Here is a 21,596-nt window from a genome sequence, read left to right as displayed (position 1 = left end):
AGAAGTACCCAGGGCCATATGGTAGAGAGTTGCCCTGGTCAGAGAGGTCAAGAAAGACAGCCCTGAGGAAGCCATAACTGAGCTGAGATTTGAAGAAAGGGTGAAACTTACAGAAGTAAGTGCATTCTGGACAAAGAGCAGTTGGTGAGAGGAAGCGTGGCAGGTAAAAAGAACTGAAAGAGGCCGAGCGCGGTGGCTCACGCCTGTAATCCCAGCACTTTGGGAGGCTGAGGCAGGTGGATCACAAGGTCAGGAGATTGAGACCATCCTGGTTAACACAGTGAAACCCTGTCTCTACTAAAAATACAAAAAATTAGCTGGGCGTGGTGGCAGGCGCCTGTAGTCCCAGTTACTGCAGAGGCTGAGGCGGGAGAATGGCGTGAACCCGGGAGGCGGAGCTTGCAGTGAGCAGAGATCGCACCACTGCACTCCAGCCTGGGTGACAGAGCGAGACTCCATCTCAAAAAAAAAAAAAAAAGAAGTGAAAGAAGGCCACAGTGGTTGGAGTAAAGAGAGCAAAGCAGAGCATGGTTTGATCTAAAGCTGGCTAGGTACAGGGCCTATGGTCATGTTAAGGAATGTTGCATCCTAAAATCATGGGAGGGCATGCAAACATTTTAAACATCTCAGGGAAGACATGAAAATCAGATGAAGAACTCACTCAGCATACATTGTGGGAGGTGGAGGTCAAAACAGTGGCAGATAGACCAATAAAGAGGCTTTTAAGGTTATCCAGGAAGAGGTGAAGGTAGCTTAGACTAGGATAGTGGGAGTGGAAGTAGGGAAAAAAGTACAGATTCAAAGAGGTTTAGGAAGCAAAATTGAATGTGAAGGGTAAGGCAGAGGGAAAGGTCATGGTGACTCCAAGTTCTGGCCTGCTTAACAATGCGGGTGACATAGGGAACAGCAAAAGGTTTTGGATTAATCAAGAGTTTGGTTTTGGCTATGTTGTGTTTTAGATGCATGTGAAACTTCCAGATGAAAGTATTAGGTAGGAAATTGGATACATGGATCTAAAGCTCAAAGAAGAGACCTGGGCTGGAGAAACATTTTTGCCATGAACGAAGTATAGAATAAGAAAAGAAGACGGCCAAGTGCAGTGGCTCACACCTATAATCCCAGCACTTTGGGAGGCTGAGGTGGGCAGATCACTTGAGGTCAGGAGTTTGAGAACAGCCTAGCCAACATGGTGAAACCCCATCTCTACTAAAAATATAAAAATTAGCCAGGCGTGGTGGCATGCACCTGTAATCCCAGCTACTCAGGAGGATGAGGCAGGAGAATCGCTTGAACCCAGGAGGCAGAGATTGCAGTGAGCCTGCACTCCAGCCTGGGTGACAGAGCCAGACTCCATATCAAAACAAACAAACAAAAAAAGACAAGACTATCTAGGACTGGGCCTTGAGTATTTTAATATGTATTGACCCGGGGAGCATAGGATAAGACTGCAAAAGAGATAGAAAATGAGCAGTCAGAGAAGATGAAGGTAAACAAAAGAGCCTTGCGTCACTGAAGACAAAAAAATACAGTGTTTCGAGGAGGAGGGACAGTCAACAGTGTTGACCACTGCTGAGATGTGAAGGAAGGTGAGTGACCCTGGCACAAGCTGTTTGTCGAGCTCATGAGGTAGGAGCCAGCCTGGCAGTGACCTAAGGAGTGAGCAGGAAGTAAAAAGAGTCAACAAGTATAGATGTTCTCTCTAGAAGTCTCTGTAAAGGGGAGAAGAGAATATGAAAGCTTGAGGGGAAGGTATGCTTGGGGTAGAGTTATCTCCACTCCCCCACCCCACCCGCCAGTGGGAGCCTTGTGTACACTTTAAATCTGGCAAACAGAATCCAGTTGAGGAGCAGAGATTAAACATGAAAACATAATGAGAGAGTGAGAGTGCAGTACATGGGCAAGGAACTGAAAAAGAATAGATGACAAAGGGGACTAGCCTTTTGGCTAGGGACATGAGGCAGGTAGAATTGCCTGGTCAAAAGGTGGTCACAAATGGTGAGAACTGTGTTGACATTATGCAAATACTGATGGAGAGTGAAGCAGTTGGGGTCAAAGACTCCGTGGTGCTCCCCAGGTTTAGGGTTCCGAGTGAAGTATTTGTGAGAAGTTGGTAAGGTATCACTAAAGAAATCCCAGCTCGGATATCTCAGAGATAAGGTCTCTGCCCAAAATAGAAATTGCAGCAGCCCCATGTGATTTCCCACAGACCTCTTCTGAGTTGAAATCCAGACCAGCCACTCTCTGAGGAAATGATATGAACCATGTTTCCTTATTCAAGGACACAAAATAACTTCCCCACACCATTCTATTTTGCAAATGAGGAAACTGAGCTGCATCTCTAGCTGGGGCTCATCTCACCCAGAATGAAGAATTTGGAGTTGGTTTCGGTCCAAGTTTCCAGTGTCTTCAAAAAGGTAGAATGCCCACATGGCATAAAGCCATTAACTGAGACACAGTGTCCTGAGACACCCACAATCCCTTGTGAAGTCACAGCAAGGAAGAAAATCTACTTTGTTTGAGTATCTTCTGGGTGCCAGGCTCTGTGTAGGTTGCTTTTGCAGACATTAGCTCATTTAATCCTCAAAATACTCTATGGCAACTGGATTTAAGCTTCTACCTAGGATGAGACAAATCAGCTTTGCTGCTTTGCTGGGAGCTCCAGCCTGCTGAATTTACCTCTCCACTGGCCTTCATGTATGGCCCCAGGCTAGCTGGGCCTGCCAGGCCCATGATGACGTAGGAATTAGAGTGTATGGCAGGACATTTCCCTGAGCTTTTCCACACTTCCCCAGCCAACCCAATGGCTGGCAAGGGCTTATATTTTTGTCTTCGCAACTTTTCTTCTCTCCAAGTTGTGTTCCAGACAAATATTTGTGGTCATTGCCCAATAATACCAAAATATACAAATATCATCTGACCATTTTTTAAAGGGGGTAGGAAGGGTTTACGGAGCACTTAACACAAATCTAATACGTTATTCTTTTTTAAGCCGACAACACTCACTCCCAGTCCCCAAACTCAAAACATTTCTCATCTCTCAGTTGACAGGGCCAGAGCAAGACACTGAGCAGGGCTTCAAGGAGGAGATGGATTTTCCAAGGAAGAGAAGTTAAATTATCCCTCTCTCCATGTCTCAACTGTATATTCAGTCTGTCCTGCCACTAGGGACCCTTAGGATCAACAGTTTTCTTGTCCCTAATTGCAATACCTCCTATGAGAATAAATCATTATTCAGCTTTGATATCCTGAATTCCTATAAATTTGTTTTGGCATGGTTTTTTTTTTTTTTTTCAGCTTTAGAATCAGTGATATGAAAAGCATTAGTAGAATGCTAAAACATGACCACAAAACTTATAAAAGTAGTCCCTAAACAACTTGTTCTTAAGAAGTAGTAGCTCCAACCCCAAAGAATCTACTCCTTCACAGGGCAAATGAACATGATGTGCCCCAGAGGGCCCTGAGGTTTGCTGAAGTGGGTCAGAGACTCAGAAGCCTGCTCCACTCCTATCAGAAGGAATTCCTACTTCCTTCCCTCTTCCATCTTCATAGTCTTTCCCAGCTTCTCCTCTCTCCACTCCCACACCTCCTCCGTCCATGGAAAAGTTGGAGAGCCTTTCTTCCCATGAGTTTACACCAGCCCGTCCCCAATTAACCTCAGTGATTAAGCAGTCATCAAAAATTGATTGAACACCAGCTACATGTGAGACTAGCTAAAACCCCTTTCATTACCTATCATCTGCCTAGCTCATTAAAAATGGGGAACACAGTACTTTGAAAACACAAACTGTAGCAATGCTGAATAATAATGATAACGAACCACAACCATTCAGTCTGGGTAGAAGGCAGATTTTACTGAGATGGATCAAATTACCTAAGGAGTACATTGTGTCTACTGAATAAAGTGAGTCAGCACCCATACATGTATGCTATTTGTAAAAGTGATAGTCTTCATTCAGCTGTTAAGTCACAACTGGCATTCAAAGTCTGTTTCTCAAACACAAAGCCCTTGAAAGATTTTCCTCTTTAATACACACCCAACATTGTCTTATTCACTGGAATAATTTAAAGTTATAGGCTCTTTTCCCAATGAGATCAAGTAGGAAAAAAAAATGTGAACTTATCATATGTTAAATTTATTCATTCATTTCTTCATTGAGCATGTGTTCCTGCCTGCTATGCCTAAGGCATTATGCCAGGCACTGAAATACCAGGGCAACTAAGACAGAGCCAGGCCCACGAGTTCCTCATAGTTTAGCAGGCATCCACACCAGTTATAGCAACAAAGTGTTACAGGTACCATGATAGAAATCTGCATAGTCACTACAGAAAGGGCCCAAAAAGCCAGAGCTGGGTTCAACCTGTGGAAGCTCAAACTGCACAGAAGAGATGAGAAAGAGTGGCTTGGCCAAAAATGCATGACATTTCAGATACATGTCCAAGCATCACTTTTCTATACGGTCTGTCATTAAGGGAGTAATGTGTCCAGATACAAAAGAATTTGTTATTTCTGGCAGTAATAAAAGGCATGCTTAGTAGCTATGGTATTGGCTCAATCAATATGTGTGAGATGTTTTTAATTGAGGTTGATGATTTTTATTTTCTTCTATAGAACAGTTCACAATCACTGACAAACATTTCTAGTTTTCAGCTAGCTTATCTACAAATAAAACAAAGCAGTGGTTCAACTCATTCTGCAACAATTTTCTAGCCCAGTGCCTACCAAATTTGCACATCCTAGAGCTGTGACTTCACTATTTAAGATATATCTGGTGAAATCTGAATAGGGTCTGATATGATTTGGATTTGTGTCCTCACCCAAATCTCACATTGGATTGTAATCCCCAGTGTTGGAGGAGGGGCTTGGTGGCAGGTAACTGGATCAATGGAGACAGACCTCCCCCTTGCTGTTCTCATGATAGTGAATGAGTGCTCACAAGATCTGGTTGTTTAAAAGTACGTAGCACCCCCACTTTGCTCTGTCTTCCCCCTTCTCCAGCCATGTAAGATGTGCCTGCTTCCCCTTCACCTTCTGCCATGATTAAAAGTTTCTCAAGGCCTCCACAGCGATGCTTCCTGTACAGCCTGCAGAACTGTGAGTCAATTAAGCTTCTTTACCCAGACTCAGGTAGTTCTTTATAGCAATGCAAGAATGGACTAATACAGAAAAAGAGTGGGATATTGTTATAAAGATACCTGAAAATGTGGAAGTGACTTTGGAACTGGGTAATGGGCAGAGGTTGAAACAGTTTGGAGGGCTCAGACGAAGACCAGAAGATCAGGGAAAGTTTGGAACTTCCTAGAGACTTGTTGAATTGTTGTGACTGAAACGTTGATAGCGATATGAACAATAAAGTCCAGGCTGAGGTGGTTTCAGATGCAGATGAGGAACTTACTGGGAAATGGAGCAAAGGTCACTTTTGTTACACATTAGCAAAGAGGTTGGTGGAATTTATATTTCAAAGGGAAGCAGAGCATAAAAGTTTGGAAAATTTGCAGCCCAGCCATGTGGTAGAAAAGAAAAACCCATTTTTCTATGTAGGAATTCAAGCCAGCTGCAGAAACTTGCATAAGTAAAAAGGAGCCGAATGTTAACAGCCAAAACAATGGGAAAAATGCCTAGAAGGCATTTCAGAGACCTTTGTGGCAGCCCCTCCCATAACAGGCCCAGAGGTCTAGGAGGGAAGAATGGTTTTCTGGACCTGGCCCAGAAAAGTTTGAGTAACCTTGGTTGAACAAAGTTGCTCAAACCCTGAGCAATCTCAGGACACTGCTCCATGTGTCTCAGCCACTCCAGCTCTAGCCATGGCTAAAAGGGCCCAAGATATGTCTCAGGCCACTGCTCCAGAGGGTACAAGCCATAAGCCTAGGCAGCTTCCATGTGGTATTAAGCCTGCAGGTGCAGAGAGGGTAAGAGTTGAGGCTCGGAAGCCTCTGCCTAGATTTCAGAGGATGCACGGAAAGACCTGGATGTCCAGGCAAAAGTATGTCACAGGGGCAGAGCCCTCATGAAGAATCTCTACTAGAGCAGTTCAGGAGGGAAATGTAGGGTTGGAGCCCCAACACAGAGTCCCCACTGGGGCACTGCCTACTGGAACTGTGAAAAGAGGGTAACTGTCCTCCAGATCCCAGAATGGTAGATCTACCAACAGCTTGCACCATGTGCCTGGAAAACCCACAGGCACTCAATGCCAGCCCAGGAAGTCAGACAAAGGGGCTGTATCCTGCAGAGCCTCAGAGGCAGAGCTGCCCAAGGCCTTGGAAGCTCACCCCTTGCATCAATGTGGCCTAGATATGAGACATGGAGTCAAAAGAGATCATTTTGGAGCTTTAATAACTGCCCTGCTGGGTTTTGGACTTGCATGGGACCTGTAGCCCCTTTGTTCCGGCTGAGTTCTACTTTTAGAGTGGGTGTATTTACCCAATGCCTATACTCCCATTGTATCTTGGAAGTAACTAACTTTTTCTTTTTAATTTTACAGGCTCATGGGCAAAAGGGACTTGCCTTGCCTCAGATGAGACTTTGGGCTGTGGACTTTTGACTTAATGCTGAAATGAGTTAAGATTTAGGGGGGACTGTTGAGAAGGGATGATTGTGTTTTGAAATCTGAGAAAGACATGAGATTTGGGATTGACAGGGGTGGAATGATATGGTTTGGATTTGAGTCCTCACCCAAATCTCATGTCAAATTGTAATTCCCGATGTTGGAGGAGGGGTCTTGTGGGAGGGTGATTAGATCATGGGGACAGACTTCCCCCTTGCCATTCTCATAATAGTGAGTGAGTTCTCACAAGATCTGTTTGTTTAAAAGTGTGTAGCACCTCCCCCTCCACTCTTTCTTCCCCCCCTTCTCCAGCCATGTAAGATGTGCCTGCTTCCCCTTCACCTTCTGACATGATTGTTAAGTTTCCTGAGGCCTCCCCAGCCATGCTTCCTATATAGCATGCAGAACTGTGAATCAATTAAACCTCTTTCCTTTATACCTAGTCTCAGGTAGTTCTTTATAGCAATGTGAGAACAGATTAATACAGGATTTTAGTTTAGTTAATAGTATTATACTAACGTTAAGTTTCTTAGTTTTGAAAATTATACTATAGTTATACAGATATTAAAACTGGGGAACTTGAGGAAGGCAATATATGGGAATACTCTGTACTAGTTTTGCAACTTTTCTATCAATTTAAAATTAGTTTCAAGTTAAAAGTAAATAAATGTATGTACATAGATATAAATATAGATAGGTATATGCATATATTTCCATTTTTATGAGATCAGTGCTACTTAAAGTGTGTTCCACAAACCTTTTATTACCAATCATAGACAAGCTAAAGCTAAATATAGAAAATGGAAGCAAGCATTTAGAAACTTTATAACAATTTGACATTTCTGAAATATTTAAGCATATGATTCTTTTCCTAGAAGTTCATTTTTATCACATTTTTTTAAAGCATCAGTCTGTATTAGGATTCTCCAGAGAAACAGAGCCAACAGGATATGTGTGTGTGTGTATATGTATAGATAGGGATTTATTTTAAGGAATTGGCTCATGTAATTGTGGAACCAAAATCCAAAGAAATCGGATGGGGTAGACCAGCAGGCTGGAGATTCAGGGAAGAGATGCAGAGTTCAAAGGCAGACTACTGATAGAATTCCTTCTTGCTCAGAGGAGGTCAGTCTCTGTTCTCTTAAGGCCTTCAACTGATTAGATGAGGCCCATCCACATTATGAATCATAATCAGCTTTACTCAAAGTCTACTGATTTAAACATGAATCTCATCCAAAAACCACCTTCACAGAAATATCCAGAATAACATTTGACCAAATATCTGGGCACTGTAGTCCAGATAAGTTGGTGCATAAAATTAACCATCATGTAGTCCATGACAGATTAAAAAATTAAAAAGAAAAAAAAAAGTCCTGCATTGGAGATATTTTGAGAAGCTTTGTGTCATATAACTTTTAATAGTCTACCAAATGGTTGTATTAATTTAAAAATTTAGACTAAGATTGCTTATTTCATATGGGAACAGGGAAAAATCCTGGGAGCAGTGTCCTGGCTGGTGTGGGGAGAGGAGGATCTAACCACTTTCTAATTCTGACCAATGAGCCTGAACCATTAAAATCTACCTTTGTATTGCTCTAATTCAGAGTTCCCAAACTGTCTCATGTCACAGCATTTTGTATCCCTGTAATTTTTTCACAGAGTCCCTAGGCAAAAAGAAATACCTACCCAAAATTCCATTTATCCAGTAGTTAAGTCCCAACAACTTAGTTGTTTGAAAAAAATTATACACATAAATCGAAAGAAAAAAATTTATTTCATTCTTAAATACTCAGTTACTTTTAAAAGGATGTGTGTGCCCAAGGTCAAGAGATTGAGACCATCCTGGCCAACATAGTGAAACCCCGTCTCTACTAAAAATACAAAAATTAGCTGGGCATGGTGGCGTGCACCCGTAGTCCCAGCTACTTGGGAGGCTGAGGCAGGAGAATTGCTTGAACCCAGGAGGTGGAGGTTGCAGTGAGCTGAGATCGCGCCACTCTACTCCAACCTGGCAACAGAGTGAGACTCCATCCAAAAAAAAGAAAAAGGGATGTGTATGCCAATTGGGCACCAAATATCTTCCCAAATCTTGGAACCCATGTGGACACAAGCACCTTCACCTCCTATTCCACACTGATTTTCTCTGGGTACTTGCATTTTACAACAACTGCTGAAAACTCAGCTTCCCAAAGACAGGACATTTTTGGAAGAAATGTAGCGCAATCTAATGTTGGAACAATGAACTACCTTGAGCTAATAGTTCAGTTGATATCCAACAGATGTCAAGTGCCACTATACTTCCTTGATATTTAAACTATGCCACAGCCCCCCTCTAAGTTTGCTGCAAAGTCTTGGGTGCCTAGGACACAGTTTGGGAGTCATGACTCTATTCTTTTCCCATTTTTAATTCCATTTTCTCTTGTGCAAAATAAAAGCATGTTCTTTAAGTATCTAGTAACTACCTCTGTTAAACCTAAGGTTATGTAGAATATAACACTTACTGTTATGTCATAACTCTGAGCTTTCACTGCTAGCAATCACAAGGTTGTGTATTCTCTTTTCATTCTTTATCTGCGGTGAATATAGTAGACGAGATGACCTCCAGTGGCCAGGTATCTCAAACATATGCCTAAGAGAGCACAATAAAATATTTTGCTTTGTGTTATATTTAAACCAGAATACAGTTCTTAACTATGTTACTTTTTAACAGATAATTAGATCAAGACTGAAAGAAGCACAAAAATACGTGTAATTTGGTATACTTCTTACTAATGGTTAACCATTTTCAATCGTGTCTTAATCTAATACTGATTTTTCTGACCAATTATATTTATTTCACTCACGCTAAATTCTTATAATTGTAGCCAAAAGTCCCATAGATCATAAAAGTGACTCTGACAACAATTCTTTGGGGCTTACACACAACTTGAAATCAAAAGCCTTTGTTTTCTTCCTCTGGGTCAATATCTTCTCATCATAACTGTTGTCATCATCATCAGAATATGAACTATTTATCTTGTTTGGCCAGTGTCAATAGTTGGAGAAATTACTTCTCTCTGTCTCATATTTCTAGCTTTCTCCTGTTTGATTTTCCATAGGCAGAGGAAAGGAGAAAGAGAAAATCTCTCACATCCCCTGCAAGATTGTTCCTTCCTAACAAGAAAAGACTCCCTCCCCCGACCTTTCTGAAGCTTCTTTTATCTACTATTTACTAGCAGCTACATACATTGATACAACCTGTCTCTGATATTAAGCTCCTGTCTTGTAATGGAGACCATATTGCCTTTCCAGAGATAAATCCAAGCTTATCAAAACACTTTTGAAAACCTCTTTCATAATAAACAGAACACAATTTCAGATAGTAGCACAGAGTGACTTCGCACCTTAGGACAGAGGTCTGATGCCAGAATGCTGTACAGTGGTGCCCTACCCACGATCTCATTTTCACCAGCCTGAGGCTGAACCTCTCCCTTCTTTCTTGCTGGGGTTTTCTATAAATCAGTTGTCAACAAATATATTGGATTCTTTACACTTTGATCTACTTAACATTTTGAAACAGGTATTCACTCAACTCCAAGTTCCTTTCCAATTACCTGGTGGGGTTTGGTGGGGAGCAGTTAGCTGGATACCTGTTTGAAGCAGGTGTCCCAGAAGCCACCTTGCTGTGCATAGACATCAGCTGGCATACAGCCTTCAGTAAGAAGGCTGATGGAAGGTACGCAGTAAAAATTAAAAGCCTAGGAAAAGTACAGGCCCCAGAGCCAGAGCAGAGCAGAGCAGTTGAGTGATGGTTCCTTCTGAGAGCAGGGTGGGAACAATTTCTTGCCCTGCTCCTGGGGATGAAAGTAAAGTCTAAACTTTTTTGCAACAGTGACTAATTCCCCATCAGAGAGCCTCCTGCGATTGCAGAGCTAATTTCATGAGTGGTAAATGAAGGGTCTCTCAAAGTGAGAGCTGACAGAGGAAGAAACAGAGAAAAACTAAAAGCAAATCCCTAAACATTACCCACATTGCAAAACAGAAGGGAATTTTCAGAAGCAATGATAGAGAACGGCCCACCTCCAGATCTCCCTCAGACATGTTTTCTTCCTTCCTGACTCATTGAGTTTCTTTAGGAAAGCCTGGTGAGAAGGGATTATGAAGCAGGCAAGGGAGCCAGCCTTTTCTGGCAACACAGGGCATTTTGATTTCAGAATCTGCAAATCTTCAAGAACAGACCCGGTGTGCACTAGTGTTCTAGGCTGGAGTCCAGCAGCAGTTCAGCTGCAGATGAAGCAAATCAGCTGGTTGGTGCTGACAGCCAGAGACCCAAGGACTTTCCTGGTGCTACACCTCTCTGGAAGTTTGAAGATGTTGGGACAGGTTTGCCTTCTGAAATGTGCAAATGTCACCAGCCGGGAGTGGCAGATGCCAGGAGGCATCTGCAAACAGATCTCCATCTGGCCATGGGCTAGGCTTCCTGGGACACAGATTAGAATAGTTTGAAACAAAGGGGCGGAAGCACCGGCTAAGCTTTTCACATATTGTTATGGTCTCTGGGTCACTTCCTGCCTTTGGAATTTATTTCCTTTCCAGGTTCAGCAAAATTCAATGAATGACAAGAAAGAGTTTGGGGTTTGTCTTTGCCTCTGGCCCAGTCGAGGGGCGGCTCTGCCTCTGTGAACTTGTACCTCTGCAGTGGTTGCATTCTCCCGCGCTGTTTGTTCACACTGAGCCCAGCATGGGGGAAGCTTCAGGATGCAACAATAAATAAGGGAAGGGAGCCATCTCCAGTTGAGTCAGATAAATCCTCTTCTTCCTAGAAAACAGAAAAGGAAAGAATAGATTGGGAAGGGCAAAAATGATGTTTTATCAAGGAGAGCTCTTTCTCACCAGCTCCCCATTCAGAGATGTAACCAGCTTTGAAGGTAGGAGGCCGAACGTGGCTCCATGCAGTCGCACCTCCCACCTCCTGGAGTCAGCCAGTAGGCCAGATAGGTACACAGGACAGTGACATTTGCTACACAACAATGATCTGCTTTGTTTTCTTTTACCAGTATTTAATTTGCACTTTGTTCCAACAGGGACTTCAGGTAGCAATAACTGCCTTTCTGACAGCATTTTCACGCTCATTTTGGGCACTTTGAAGCTGACATGAATGCATATCGCAAAATCCTTCTGCAACCCCCGGCAATCCCTGTACATCCACTGCAGTTCTGCAGTGCAGAGACCCCCAGAGGCCAAGGCAGACCCTTTTGCCCCAACAGCTGCAGGACCCTATCAAAACTTAATGTGGTCCCTGCTGCCCCTGTCATTTCTTTGAGAAAGAGTGTGTCTCTCTGAATAGTGATCCACCGTCATGAATAAGTTCCTTCTGAAAGCCGGCTCATACAGCCCTTGTCAGGAAGAATCTCGCAGAGCCTGTCCACATATCCAGAGTCCATCTCTCTCTAGACTGAGAGGTCAGGGTTCATAGCTTTAGAGGAAGGGTAATTTTTGCCCCCACCTTTAGTCTAAACACAGCTAAACTAGCAGCAAACGCTATTGTAAATACAGAGGAAGTTGCAACTAGTGATCAGCCTTTCTCCTGGTGCCACTCAATCTCCCAGAAATAAGAACTAAAGCTTCCCCTCCATCAGTTTAAACAATCTCTTTGCTCGAGGCTGCAGATGCCACCACTGTTGGGAGCTAGCAGTGACAGGGCTGCTGCCTTGGGTTATCACTGTGGCTCAGGCGTCAATCAAATTGACCTTTTCAAATTGCACCAACACATCTCGCATTCACAGAAATGGTCTGCTGTGACCTTCACAACAATTGTTCCTAACCACTTTAGGAAGTTCTGGGGGAAGGAAGTAAGTAGGTAGGGCGGAGATGGCTGTATACATACCAGGGTCAGGAACACCTGTAGAGTACGAAAGCAACAGGAAGTCTGCCCAAGAGTCCCAACTTTCCTCCATGAAAAAGCGCTCTGTCAGATTCAGGCATTATGTTTCCATATAAAAGTATAACCCGGGTCTGGGAAATTTATAAATCATTACTTTTAAACTTTACAGAATCTGATAGCACGGGACTGTCAGGGAGCCAGGAATCTGCATTTTTATCAAGCCCACCGGCTGCTACTAGTACAGGTGGTCTGTGGCTCAGACTTTGGAACACTGTGCTATAAGGAATTGTGAGTCATTGTCAGGTTAGCATGGAGGAACTGGTAACACAGATGAACATTGCACCTGGATGCCAGGCCAGGCTTTGGCAGTCTGTATGACCGACCCTGGGTAAGACAATTTAATTCTCTGAGACTAAAGGCCTCAGGACTAGACAGAAGACCTTCAAAAATTTAGAAATAGCTTCTAAATTACGGCCCAAAGGCCTACAGATTTGGAGCACTGGTCCAAACAGAAGGACCAGGGTTCTGCAGGCATGCCCTGAACACTCACTGAAGTTCTTCGTTGCAGAAAACTCCAGCAGCCAAGGTGGAACCTCTTGCCCAGGGCTGCAGTCCTAGAACTCTGTGGTCATGGGATGCAAGAACTGCATCTTTGCTCTCAGCCATTTCCAAGTAGGAGAAAGGGAAAGGAAGAAGATTCTATTTATGTAGTGCATTATATGCATTATTTTTTAAATTCTCACTTAACCCTAGTATCATTAGTCTCCTTTTGAAGATGAGAGAATTGAAGATCAAAGATGTGAAATAACTTGCCCCAATTCCCCCAGGTCTCATGGCTATAGAATGCTTGAACTGAAATTTCAGTTCATGTCTTCCAAGATCCAGGTGCCATGTTCTTTCCACAAAACCATTCAGAACTGGAAGTTTTGCTGTGGCCATCCTGAAGGCCTGGCTGTTTGGAAACCCTCCAGATACCCTCACCTCTCCCTGACATCCATCCCACACCTGTTCACCACTCTACTTCAGAATCTCACACACCCTGGGTCTTTCCTCCATCCCTGACCTCCAGCTGATCGCTCAGCTGAACTCATTTCTTATCCCTACAACTTCTTGACTCCCAGTAATTAAAATACATCAGCTGCCACTTCTCCTGGGCTGAGGAGGATGTTTCTGGCCCACAACTACTCCAGCCACTGACTTCAAGATCAAGTCAGCTGGGTCCTGGAAAACTCAGTGTATCCCTAAGGATTTCCATGAATTGAGAATCTCTAAATGAATGCTTAAGAGGCATTTGTGCACTTACTGATTCTAACCCACACATACACAAGCACATACACACAAACAAATATGCACACACAATACACATACACATACACACACAGAGATCTCTTCTCAACTCAGGGCAGAGATATAGAAAACCCTCAGGGAGAAACCAGTGCCCTTCTATTAGGAGATGACACATCAAACTTCAACTTCCTAACAATAGTGATTATTCTGGGATGCTGGGCACCCCCTAGTGGGAGTAATGGAGAGAGAAGACAGACTGTTTTGGTGCTGTTCTCAGTAACCCATTCCACCCACAACTTCCTGCCCCTTCGCTGCCTTCTCTTTCCAGCCCATCTCACTGTTCTTGGAATGATTCATTCTTCCCACGATGATTGGGCCTTTTGCCCCATAAAACCCTCCCTCTCTTTACAGACATAATGGACTAAAACTAAGCAGAAGGCAACTCAGGCAGAACAGCAGGAAAAACTTCCTATGGGGAGAGCGATTAAAATCTGAAATGACCTTACAAGGCAAACTAAGTAAGACCTAACTGCACTGGGCAGAACAATAGAGAATATCTCAGAAAGATATTCTTGGAGATGAAGAGGATGAGGGAAAAGCTATTTCCCTGATTTCATATATTAATGCCCCCATCCAACACTCTCAGACTGATTTCATGACAATATAAATGCCCTGTGCTACATCTAACCCCTTTTAAGACCAAGAGAACACCCAACATTTATACATTTGAAATAAACAGATGAAGCCTGTCCCAGCAGAGTGGCAGCTCATCCATGAACTGGGCACTATGTAGTACTGTGGGACATTCTGAACATTTGTGTACTAATACCCACTCTTTTCAAGGCCACTGCCATAGCTCCCCACGACGGGATGAGTCCTACTATACTGTAAACAATAAAGTGTTTTCTGAGTGTTTACGTTATACCAGGCTCAAGATTCGTAAGCATTTTTAAGACATGCGCACATCTAGTTCAGTCCCTTCTCCAAACAAGGGCCTTAATAAAAGATAGGGAGAGTAACATATTTAAGTGCATGCGCAAAGAATCCTTCTGGGCATATTCACAGTTCTTATTTTAGTTAAGTATTTGATAACTTGTTCACTGGGTAAGGGGCCAGCCAGTCTCATCTTGGGGACCAGTGCCTGTCTCTAGTAGATGTGACAATTATACAGCACCCACCTTCATGCAGAGCTTTGGTTGTTATGATCTTATTCCTTCCTAGATTTGAGTCATCAGCTCATTAGTGCCCATTCAACTTAGCCTTCCTCTGATGAATCCTCTAAAACCTTGCTCATAATTTTACCGATACCAGCACAGGATTTTCTCTGCTATGCCTCCTGCTTCATCTGGAGCCTAGTGACTTGGAGAGTCTAATCTCACAACTGCTTACAATGTTAATCCCTTTCATCTCTTCTTTTAGAACCATGTGGTGATGTTCATCTTTCTGACAACCAAGAACCTTGGAAGAATCTCTCGCCTCAGGCGCTCCTATTTTTGTGCCTAGCTCGGCCGCCTTCCAAATCACCAGAGGCATCATAGAATGCAACTGTCTGTGGAGGGTTGGAGGACGAATTGGACACAAATTCATTGGACGGCTGAAGGAAAAAAGAAAGGTCAAGGATGCTCCAGCTTGGCCAGCCTCGCAGGCCTGACAGCAGAAGCTGGAATTCTTTCTTTTATAACTTGGGCTTGAATTAAAGGCATTTTTTTTTAGTCCAGAGACCTTTGGCCTTCACTCCAAACAGAACACTCAGTGGGGTGGAGCAAGGCTGTCTGTTGGCAGGAAGGGCATGCTGACCTCTGGCCCTAATGCCTTCCCTAACCTGGAAAGACATAAAAGCTGTGGTGAGTTAGCTGAGCCACCTGGAGGGCTCTGTCAGTATGTAGAATGTTCTAAATCATGTAAGGGGCCCTGCCTTTGTAAAGAAGAGTGGTGATGTGTTTATGGGCTCAGAGAAGAAAACATATGGAGAGAAAATGAGAATTAAGAAGAATAAACCTAACTAGTGGCTGCTTTGGGTGTCTAGAAGACAAGTAAAACTCAGAAAAGAGGCCCCAGTTCTGAGAGGCAGAGATAAGGGAACTTCCAGTACATCTGTCTCTATTTTCAGAAGAGATAAAAACCAAATCATAAATCTAAAGATGAAGGTACATTCATCTGGGGAGAGGACTAAACAAGCTGTTATATTTCAAACAGCTATTAGGATTGCAAAAATGAACACTTTTAACTTGCTAGTGGAAGCATTTCTTTCCTGCAAGTCACCTTGGATCAGATTAGACAACAAAGAGAAGATAACAAAAAATTATTTTTTTGTGCAGGCTAAGAAGCATTAATTTAGGCTCTTTGTACTAAGCTAGATTCCCGTCCTGGATGCTTTCCAAGAAAAAGCAAAAAGTGAGCAACCAGAGCAGTTATGGGAAATTCAAGTGTGTGCTTTGTTGGGAAGGATGAGAACGGGGGGTTCCGCTGGCCCAGAGCTGCAAACGAAATCAATGGTCTGCAGCTTGGGAGGTGACCAGAGGACCCAGGCCACTGGATCAGGCGCTCAGAGAGCCAGCATGAGCCTTCAAGGCAGTGCTTGTGGGCAGGAGGACAGGTCTGAGCTTCCTGCCAGTGCCTATGGCAAGTTGGATATGTATTTGCCAGTATCCCCAAGGGAAGGGGTTCTGTGCCAGCTGGAGCTCTCTCAGGAAAGACAGGTAGCTCTCAGATGAAGTCCAAGGAAACCAGGTGAGGGCTTGAATTGTGGCCAGCGAAGCAGGGTGTCTAACACCTGAGGAGGCCAGATGGGGGTCAGGAGCATTCAGGCAGGGAAGAAGGGGTGTGACATGCCCATGAAAGGTGGGTGTGGGCATTCCAGGGCCTAGATAATGTTTATGGAAGAGGTTTCTATCACAACACAATACAAGGCACTCTTGCTGTCCTAAAACCTTTTCTCCAGCTGAGTTTCTGACTCTTTTAAAGCCACAATGTAGGCCAGACATGGTGGCTCACGCCTGTAATCCCAGCACTTTGGGAGGCTGAGGCGGGCGGATCACCTGAGGTCAGGAGTTTGAGACCAGCCTGACCAACGTGGAGAAACCCTGTCTCCATTAAAAATACAAAATTAGCCAGGCATGGTGGCGCATGCCTGTAATCCCAGCTACTCGGGAGGCTGAAGCAGGAGAATCACTTGAACCTGGGAGGTGGAGGTTGTGGTGAGCTGAGTTTGTGCCATTGCACTCCAGCCTGGGCAACAAAGAGCGAAACTCCATCTAAAAAAAAAAAAAAAAAAAAAAAAAGCCACAATATAAGGACATTCTCAGGAACATTGAAGCTAAGAGGCCATAGATTGAATAAGATGGCCAAATATGCCACACGGAGCCAAAGAAGCAAGGCAAGCCTCTGCAGAGTCCCATTTGACGTGAAGAGGCAGATAACCAATGTTTCCGAATCATAGTAACTGAAGTTAAAGGAATGACTCCAGGTCATCACTACGTTGATTTCCTTTCCCTCACTTCTGGGAAGGTCTTAAACCCCTCTACAGTGTCTTTCCACCATTTATTTCCCCCCTTGCTTTCTTCCACTTATTCCCAGTGGTGAGCAGGGGCCAGTTTATACCACCTCCCAACTCTGTGTTCAGTAATTTACAATCAGCCGCGATGGGAGTGTTTATGCCTTAGAAATTGGAAAATGCTGCAAATCAGAGCTTTCTGTTTTTTTTCTGGAGAGCCAGTTGTTAAACAGCTCCCAGTACATCCTGCCTGTGACTGAGAGTTTTTGCATGGGAGGAAGAGGCCGTGTACTGAGGCGGACAATGTTAGAAGTCTGGGGATGGGAACAGAGAAGCCCAAAGTGCTGGGTGGGAAGTGGTGAATTGCCAAAATTGGTTCTGCCTCCCTCACGGACACACACACCCCAGCCCCAGCCCCAGCCTTGGGTTCAGTATTTAACAGTCATTCAGTAAGAAGCTGTTCCATATCTACAGGGATGTGGAGGCAGCTTTCTATTGATTTGGAGGGCTGGATACCTTCCTGCTCGAACATTTTTTGAGGTTTATGGTACAGAATACAATAACCTAGGTACACATAGTGTACATTCTGTGTATTAGGCTATTATACCATGCACCATATGTTGCATATTATCCATTTTCCTCTGTGGATTTAAAGGTTTCACATACATTCAATCTTGCTTTTCCTCTTCCAACCCCCCATGTAACAATGTGTGTTCCTCTTCCCCCAAACGTGCTTCCCGTTGACCTTTGGACTCAACATCTTGTCTATTTTTAAAATGTTCCTGAGCCAGATAATTATTACACCCTCTAAAGTAGAGTTCTTTGACTTTAATATACATAAAATCACCTGGGGAATCTTTTTCCAATGCAGGTTTGCATTCAGTTTTGACCCCATAACTCTCTCTCCCTTCTACTTCTTCAACTTTAAGAAGTTCCGACTATACCTCTGGAAGAAACAGCCTCTCACAAGAGATTGGACGAGGAATAGAAGTCTGAACCAAGCAACCAAATCTATACCCAGGTGGGGTTGGATTCCCTTTCAAGAATTTGAAGTAGAATGCTGTCCTAGCCAGAGTTCCTCACCCCCAAAAGCAGAGCCTGAGATAGAGATTTGCAGGCAGTAATTTATTTAAGGATCCCAGAGAATAGAAGTGCAGGATATGGGAAATGACAAAAGAGAGGAAGAAAAATCAGTACAAGGGTATGTTATTGAACTGGGCATGGCAAAGGGCAAGCAGTGCTCCCATTCTGTAGGACCTGCTAATGAGCTTTCTGATAGGCAACTCTGTCCATCTCAAGCATTTATCCAGGCTTTCCTTTATGAACAGTACTGATTAAATGCTTGATAACCCTTTATTTTCCAGTTTTCAGATAGTGACTTCATTCCCTGGCATCCTCCAAAAGTCACCAATAAATATTATTTTAGTATGATTATGAACCACGAGTTTAAATATATTTGATGTATTTAAATCCATTGCAGTTATTATTCTAATTAGTGCTCAAATTATCCCATCTTTGGCCAATGGAAGCTTATTTATGCTAGCTACTAGTCTTTTTGGTACAACCTCAGTCATCTTTGATAGCATCCTTCCTTTCTGGTGTAATAAGATATTCTAGAGCAGCTCTATTCAATGGAATTTTCTATGATGATGGGCATGTTCTTCATCTGTGCTATATGATACTGTAGCCAGTAGTCACATGTGGTTATTAAATATTTGAAATGTGGCTAATGGAACTGAGGAAATGAATTTTAAATTTAATTTTGATAAATTGTATTTCAAATAGCCACCTGTGACTAGTTGCCACCATATTGAACAGCACAGCTCTAGAGTAGCTTTTTGTGTAACAAATGAAAAAATTTAGGTACAGAGAAGCAGGACTTGTCTGTGATAGAATTCAATCTTTATCATTAGAACAGTGCAGGGACTGCCTGCATCTAAATAATCTGGGAAATCTGTAAAATATTGATTTCTGAGCCTCTCCCCCAGATATTCTGATTTATCACATATGAGGCGGTGCTCAGGAATCTGTTGTTTTATCGTTGTTATTTTAATGTTACCATGTGATCTAATGAGCAGCTCTGGGAACCACTACATTAGACAGCTGGAATGTAATATTTATGTTACAGCTATGGTTCATTGAAAATCATTCCAACCAATCAATTGTACATCTTTAACTCCATATGGTCAGTTTTAAAACTTCTCAGAAGACCATAGCACTCTGCCAGTTATGTAATCAAGAGCTACGGGTGCTTGTAGAGGTTTGCCTCTCCCCGGCTTCAGCACAGGCCTCATTCATCCATAATTTAAAAAGACACAAAACCAAGCCAAGAGTGAACAGCTTTCCTCCTCAGACCAGCCATTAGGATCTACTGTGCCTCCTGTGTATGTCAAGAACTGACATTTTACCCTGCTTGCACAAAACAAGTTAGCCTGCCACAGATTCAGGATACTGGCAGAAGACATGAGACTCCTGGGCCAAAGGCAAAGGACTTTGTTTCACTCAGCACAGCAAGCAATGTGAGATTTATGTTCATATTAGTTCTTGCCCCCCAAGGTCCAAGAGGGTAACAGAGTAGCCCAGTAGCACACACAATGGATTCCATCATGGCCGAATAACTCCAATAATTTATAATGAGCTACAAATAAACTTGCTCAACTTTGCCCCAAAAAGAGGCATCATCTTTATTATACTATGCAGCAAGCAAACCCTCTCTGTTCCAGAGGGAGATACTACCTCTGTCTTCCAAGGCTGCTTTCCAATATGCAAACATGTTTGGAAAATGCTATCAATGCTTCTGCTTGAAAACATGAAGAAATATGAGAGACCTATGGAGAACTGTCTCCCCCAGTACATATCCCAGGGCACAATTCCTGGCCCATCTGCAGCATGGTGAACCCCTAGAACCAGAACAGAAACCCTAGAATCTATACAGTGTCTATATAGAGACCCTTCTATTCCATCCCAGCTGTGATGACTTTGGATGTGGCTCTGTCCTCTGGGGGGATGTAGTAATGCATCCTTAGAGGAGCAGTCTCTAAAGTCAGTCTATCTGAATTCACATCTCAGCCATGACACTTACTAACTGTGTGACTTTGGGAATTGTATGTAACCTCTCCATGCCCCAATTTTCTCATCTACAAAATAGGAGTAGGTTAATACCTACCTCAAGGTTATTGTAAAGATTATATGAGATAAAACATGTATTTAACCCAAGTTATATAGCAAATTATCAGTAAACATTAGCCATTGCTATTACCACTCATTATTATTAATTCTTTCTCATGACTTTTCCCATCATAGTGGAGCCACCTGCTCATAGAGAACCCTGGCACCCATTGGCTTCTTCCTAATCCTAGATTGTACTTCCATTGCAACTTCAGAGCCAATTTACCACCCTATGGGGTTTGCTGTATTCCAGAAGTGGGTGAGTTATGGCCCGCAAGCCAAACTCAGTCTGCCGCCTGTTTTTGAAAATAAAGTTTTTTGGAACACAGTCACACCCATTCATTTACATATTTTCTAGGGCTGCTTTAGTATCGCAATACCAGAGTTGAGTAGTAAAGCCTAAAATATTTACTATTTGGCCCTTTGAAGAAAAAGGTTACCAGTCCCTGCTCCATTCTATTCACAGACTATATACCAACTCCATCCAACAACCTTTAAGATGGGTTGTTGATCAAGAAGACCAGGAAAGGGTGGCAGTGAATTACTGCTACCTCTTTTCATTAGAAAAATAACTCCAAAGTACTATTAGGAAGGCATCAGTTTAACGTTTTAGAACACTGCTTTGTATTACTCTTCGTTGAATTGGATTGTTTACACTGTCCATCAACTGGCCATTTAACAAGCAAAACATTAGTAAACTGTCTTTGTGTAAGAGTATTAACTCAAAGACAGAAGACTTTTTTAAAAGGAAATTTCCTTTTGTTAAAGGATTTTATCAAAGAGTATTCTAAAAAATGAATTTGCTTTTTTTAAATAAGAGTAAATATAGATAGAATTTATCACTTTCATTCTCTCCACAAATATCCTTAACATGTTACTAACCCTCAAATGAAGACAGGCATTAGATGAATATTTACGACGGCCATGGTTAATGAATATTATTCATTAACTATGTATTTAGTACTAGGTTTCAGAACAGAGTCATGAGATATGTTTAGTCATTATAACTGAATAATATGTTTAGTCATTACAAATGACTATACTAACCCCTCAGCAATGAGAATGTCAATATCCATATAAAATTTTTAACTTCTTTTATAAAATACCCTTTCAGAGCAGAGGCAGAAAGTTATTTGACAAGCTGTGACTAAATGATACTGATAGATTTTTTTTATTTTCATTTATTTATTTTTTGAGATAAAGTCTTGCTCTGTCAGCCAGGGTGGAGGGCAGGAGCACCATG

General features: G+C 42.7%; 1 long non-coding RNA gene across 1 annotated transcript in view, besides 6 other annotated features; it reads right to left on the bottom strand.

Moving 5' to 3' along the window:
- Positions 1-21,596, bottom strand: part of MAP4K3-DT (MAP4K3 divergent transcript) — a 163,929-nt gene that overhangs the window by 73,591 nt on the left and 68,742 nt on the right. Inside the window, exons 4-5 of the long non-coding RNA NR_037875.1 lie at positions 11,213-11,340; positions 9,044-9,171 (exon numbers count right to left, since the gene is read on the bottom strand). This is a non-coding gene — a long non-coding RNA (MAP4K3 divergent transcript). The remainder of the gene's footprint in view (positions 1-9,043; positions 9,172-11,212; positions 11,341-21,596) is intronic.
- Positions 385-444: an enhancer, noted in NCBI's record as "active region_15618". NCBI's record gives its function as "activates an Ori minimal core promoter by ATAC-STARR-seq in GM12878 lymphoblastoid cells {active_cell/tissue: GM12878}" and the evidence as "EXISTENCE:reporter gene assay evidence [ECO:0000049][PMID:35858748]".
- Positions 10,342-10,934: an enhancer, noted in NCBI's record as "OCT4-NANOG-H3K27ac-H3K4me1 hESC enhancer chr2:39743961-39744553 (GRCh37/hg19 assembly coordinates)". NCBI's record gives its function as "activates a minimal SCP1, AML or CMV promoter by ChIP-STARR-seq in primed H9 embryonic stem cells {active_cell/tissue: H9 hESC(primed)}" and the evidence as "EXISTENCE:reporter gene assay evidence [ECO:0000049][PMID:30033119]".
- Positions 10,935-11,526: an enhancer, noted in NCBI's record as "OCT4-NANOG-H3K27ac hESC enhancer chr2:39743369-39743960 (GRCh37/hg19 assembly coordinates)". NCBI's record gives its function as "activates a minimal SCP1, AML or CMV promoter by ChIP-STARR-seq in naive H9 embryonic stem cells {active_cell/tissue: H9 hESC(naive)}" and the evidence as "EXISTENCE:reporter gene assay evidence [ECO:0000049][PMID:30033119]".
- Positions 11,527-12,119: an enhancer, noted in NCBI's record as "H3K27ac hESC enhancer chr2:39742776-39743368 (GRCh37/hg19 assembly coordinates)". NCBI's record gives its function as "activates a minimal SCP1, AML or CMV promoter by ChIP-STARR-seq in naive H9 embryonic stem cells {active_cell/tissue: H9 hESC(naive)}" and the evidence as "EXISTENCE:reporter gene assay evidence [ECO:0000049][PMID:30033119]".
- Positions 12,208-12,428: a silencer, noted in NCBI's record as "fragment chr2:39742467-39742687 (GRCh37/hg19 assembly coordinates)". NCBI's record gives its function as "represses an EF-1alpha promoter that drives an FKBP-Casp9 reporter gene in an ReSE screen in K562 erythroleukemia cells {active_cell/tissue: K562}" and the evidence as "EXISTENCE:reporter gene assay evidence [ECO:0000049][PMID:32094911]".
- Positions 15,352-15,646: an enhancer, noted in NCBI's record as "tiled region #10578; HepG2 Activating DNase matched - State 5:Enh". NCBI's record gives its function as "activates a minimal TATA promoter and a strong SV40 promoter by Sharpr-MPRA in HepG2 cells {active_cell/tissue: HepG2}" and the evidence as "EXISTENCE:reporter gene assay evidence [ECO:0000049][PMID:27701403]".

Source organism: Homo sapiens, chromosome 2 (genome assembly GCF_000001405.40).
Source record: "Homo sapiens chromosome 2, GRCh38.p14 Primary Assembly".
In the NCBI taxonomy this organism is placed as follows: Eukaryota; Metazoa; Chordata; class Mammalia; order Primates; family Hominidae; genus Homo; species Homo sapiens.
The sequence above is the reverse complement of the archived record's forward strand: the minus strand, read 5'-3'. Positions and strand labels throughout refer to the sequence as shown.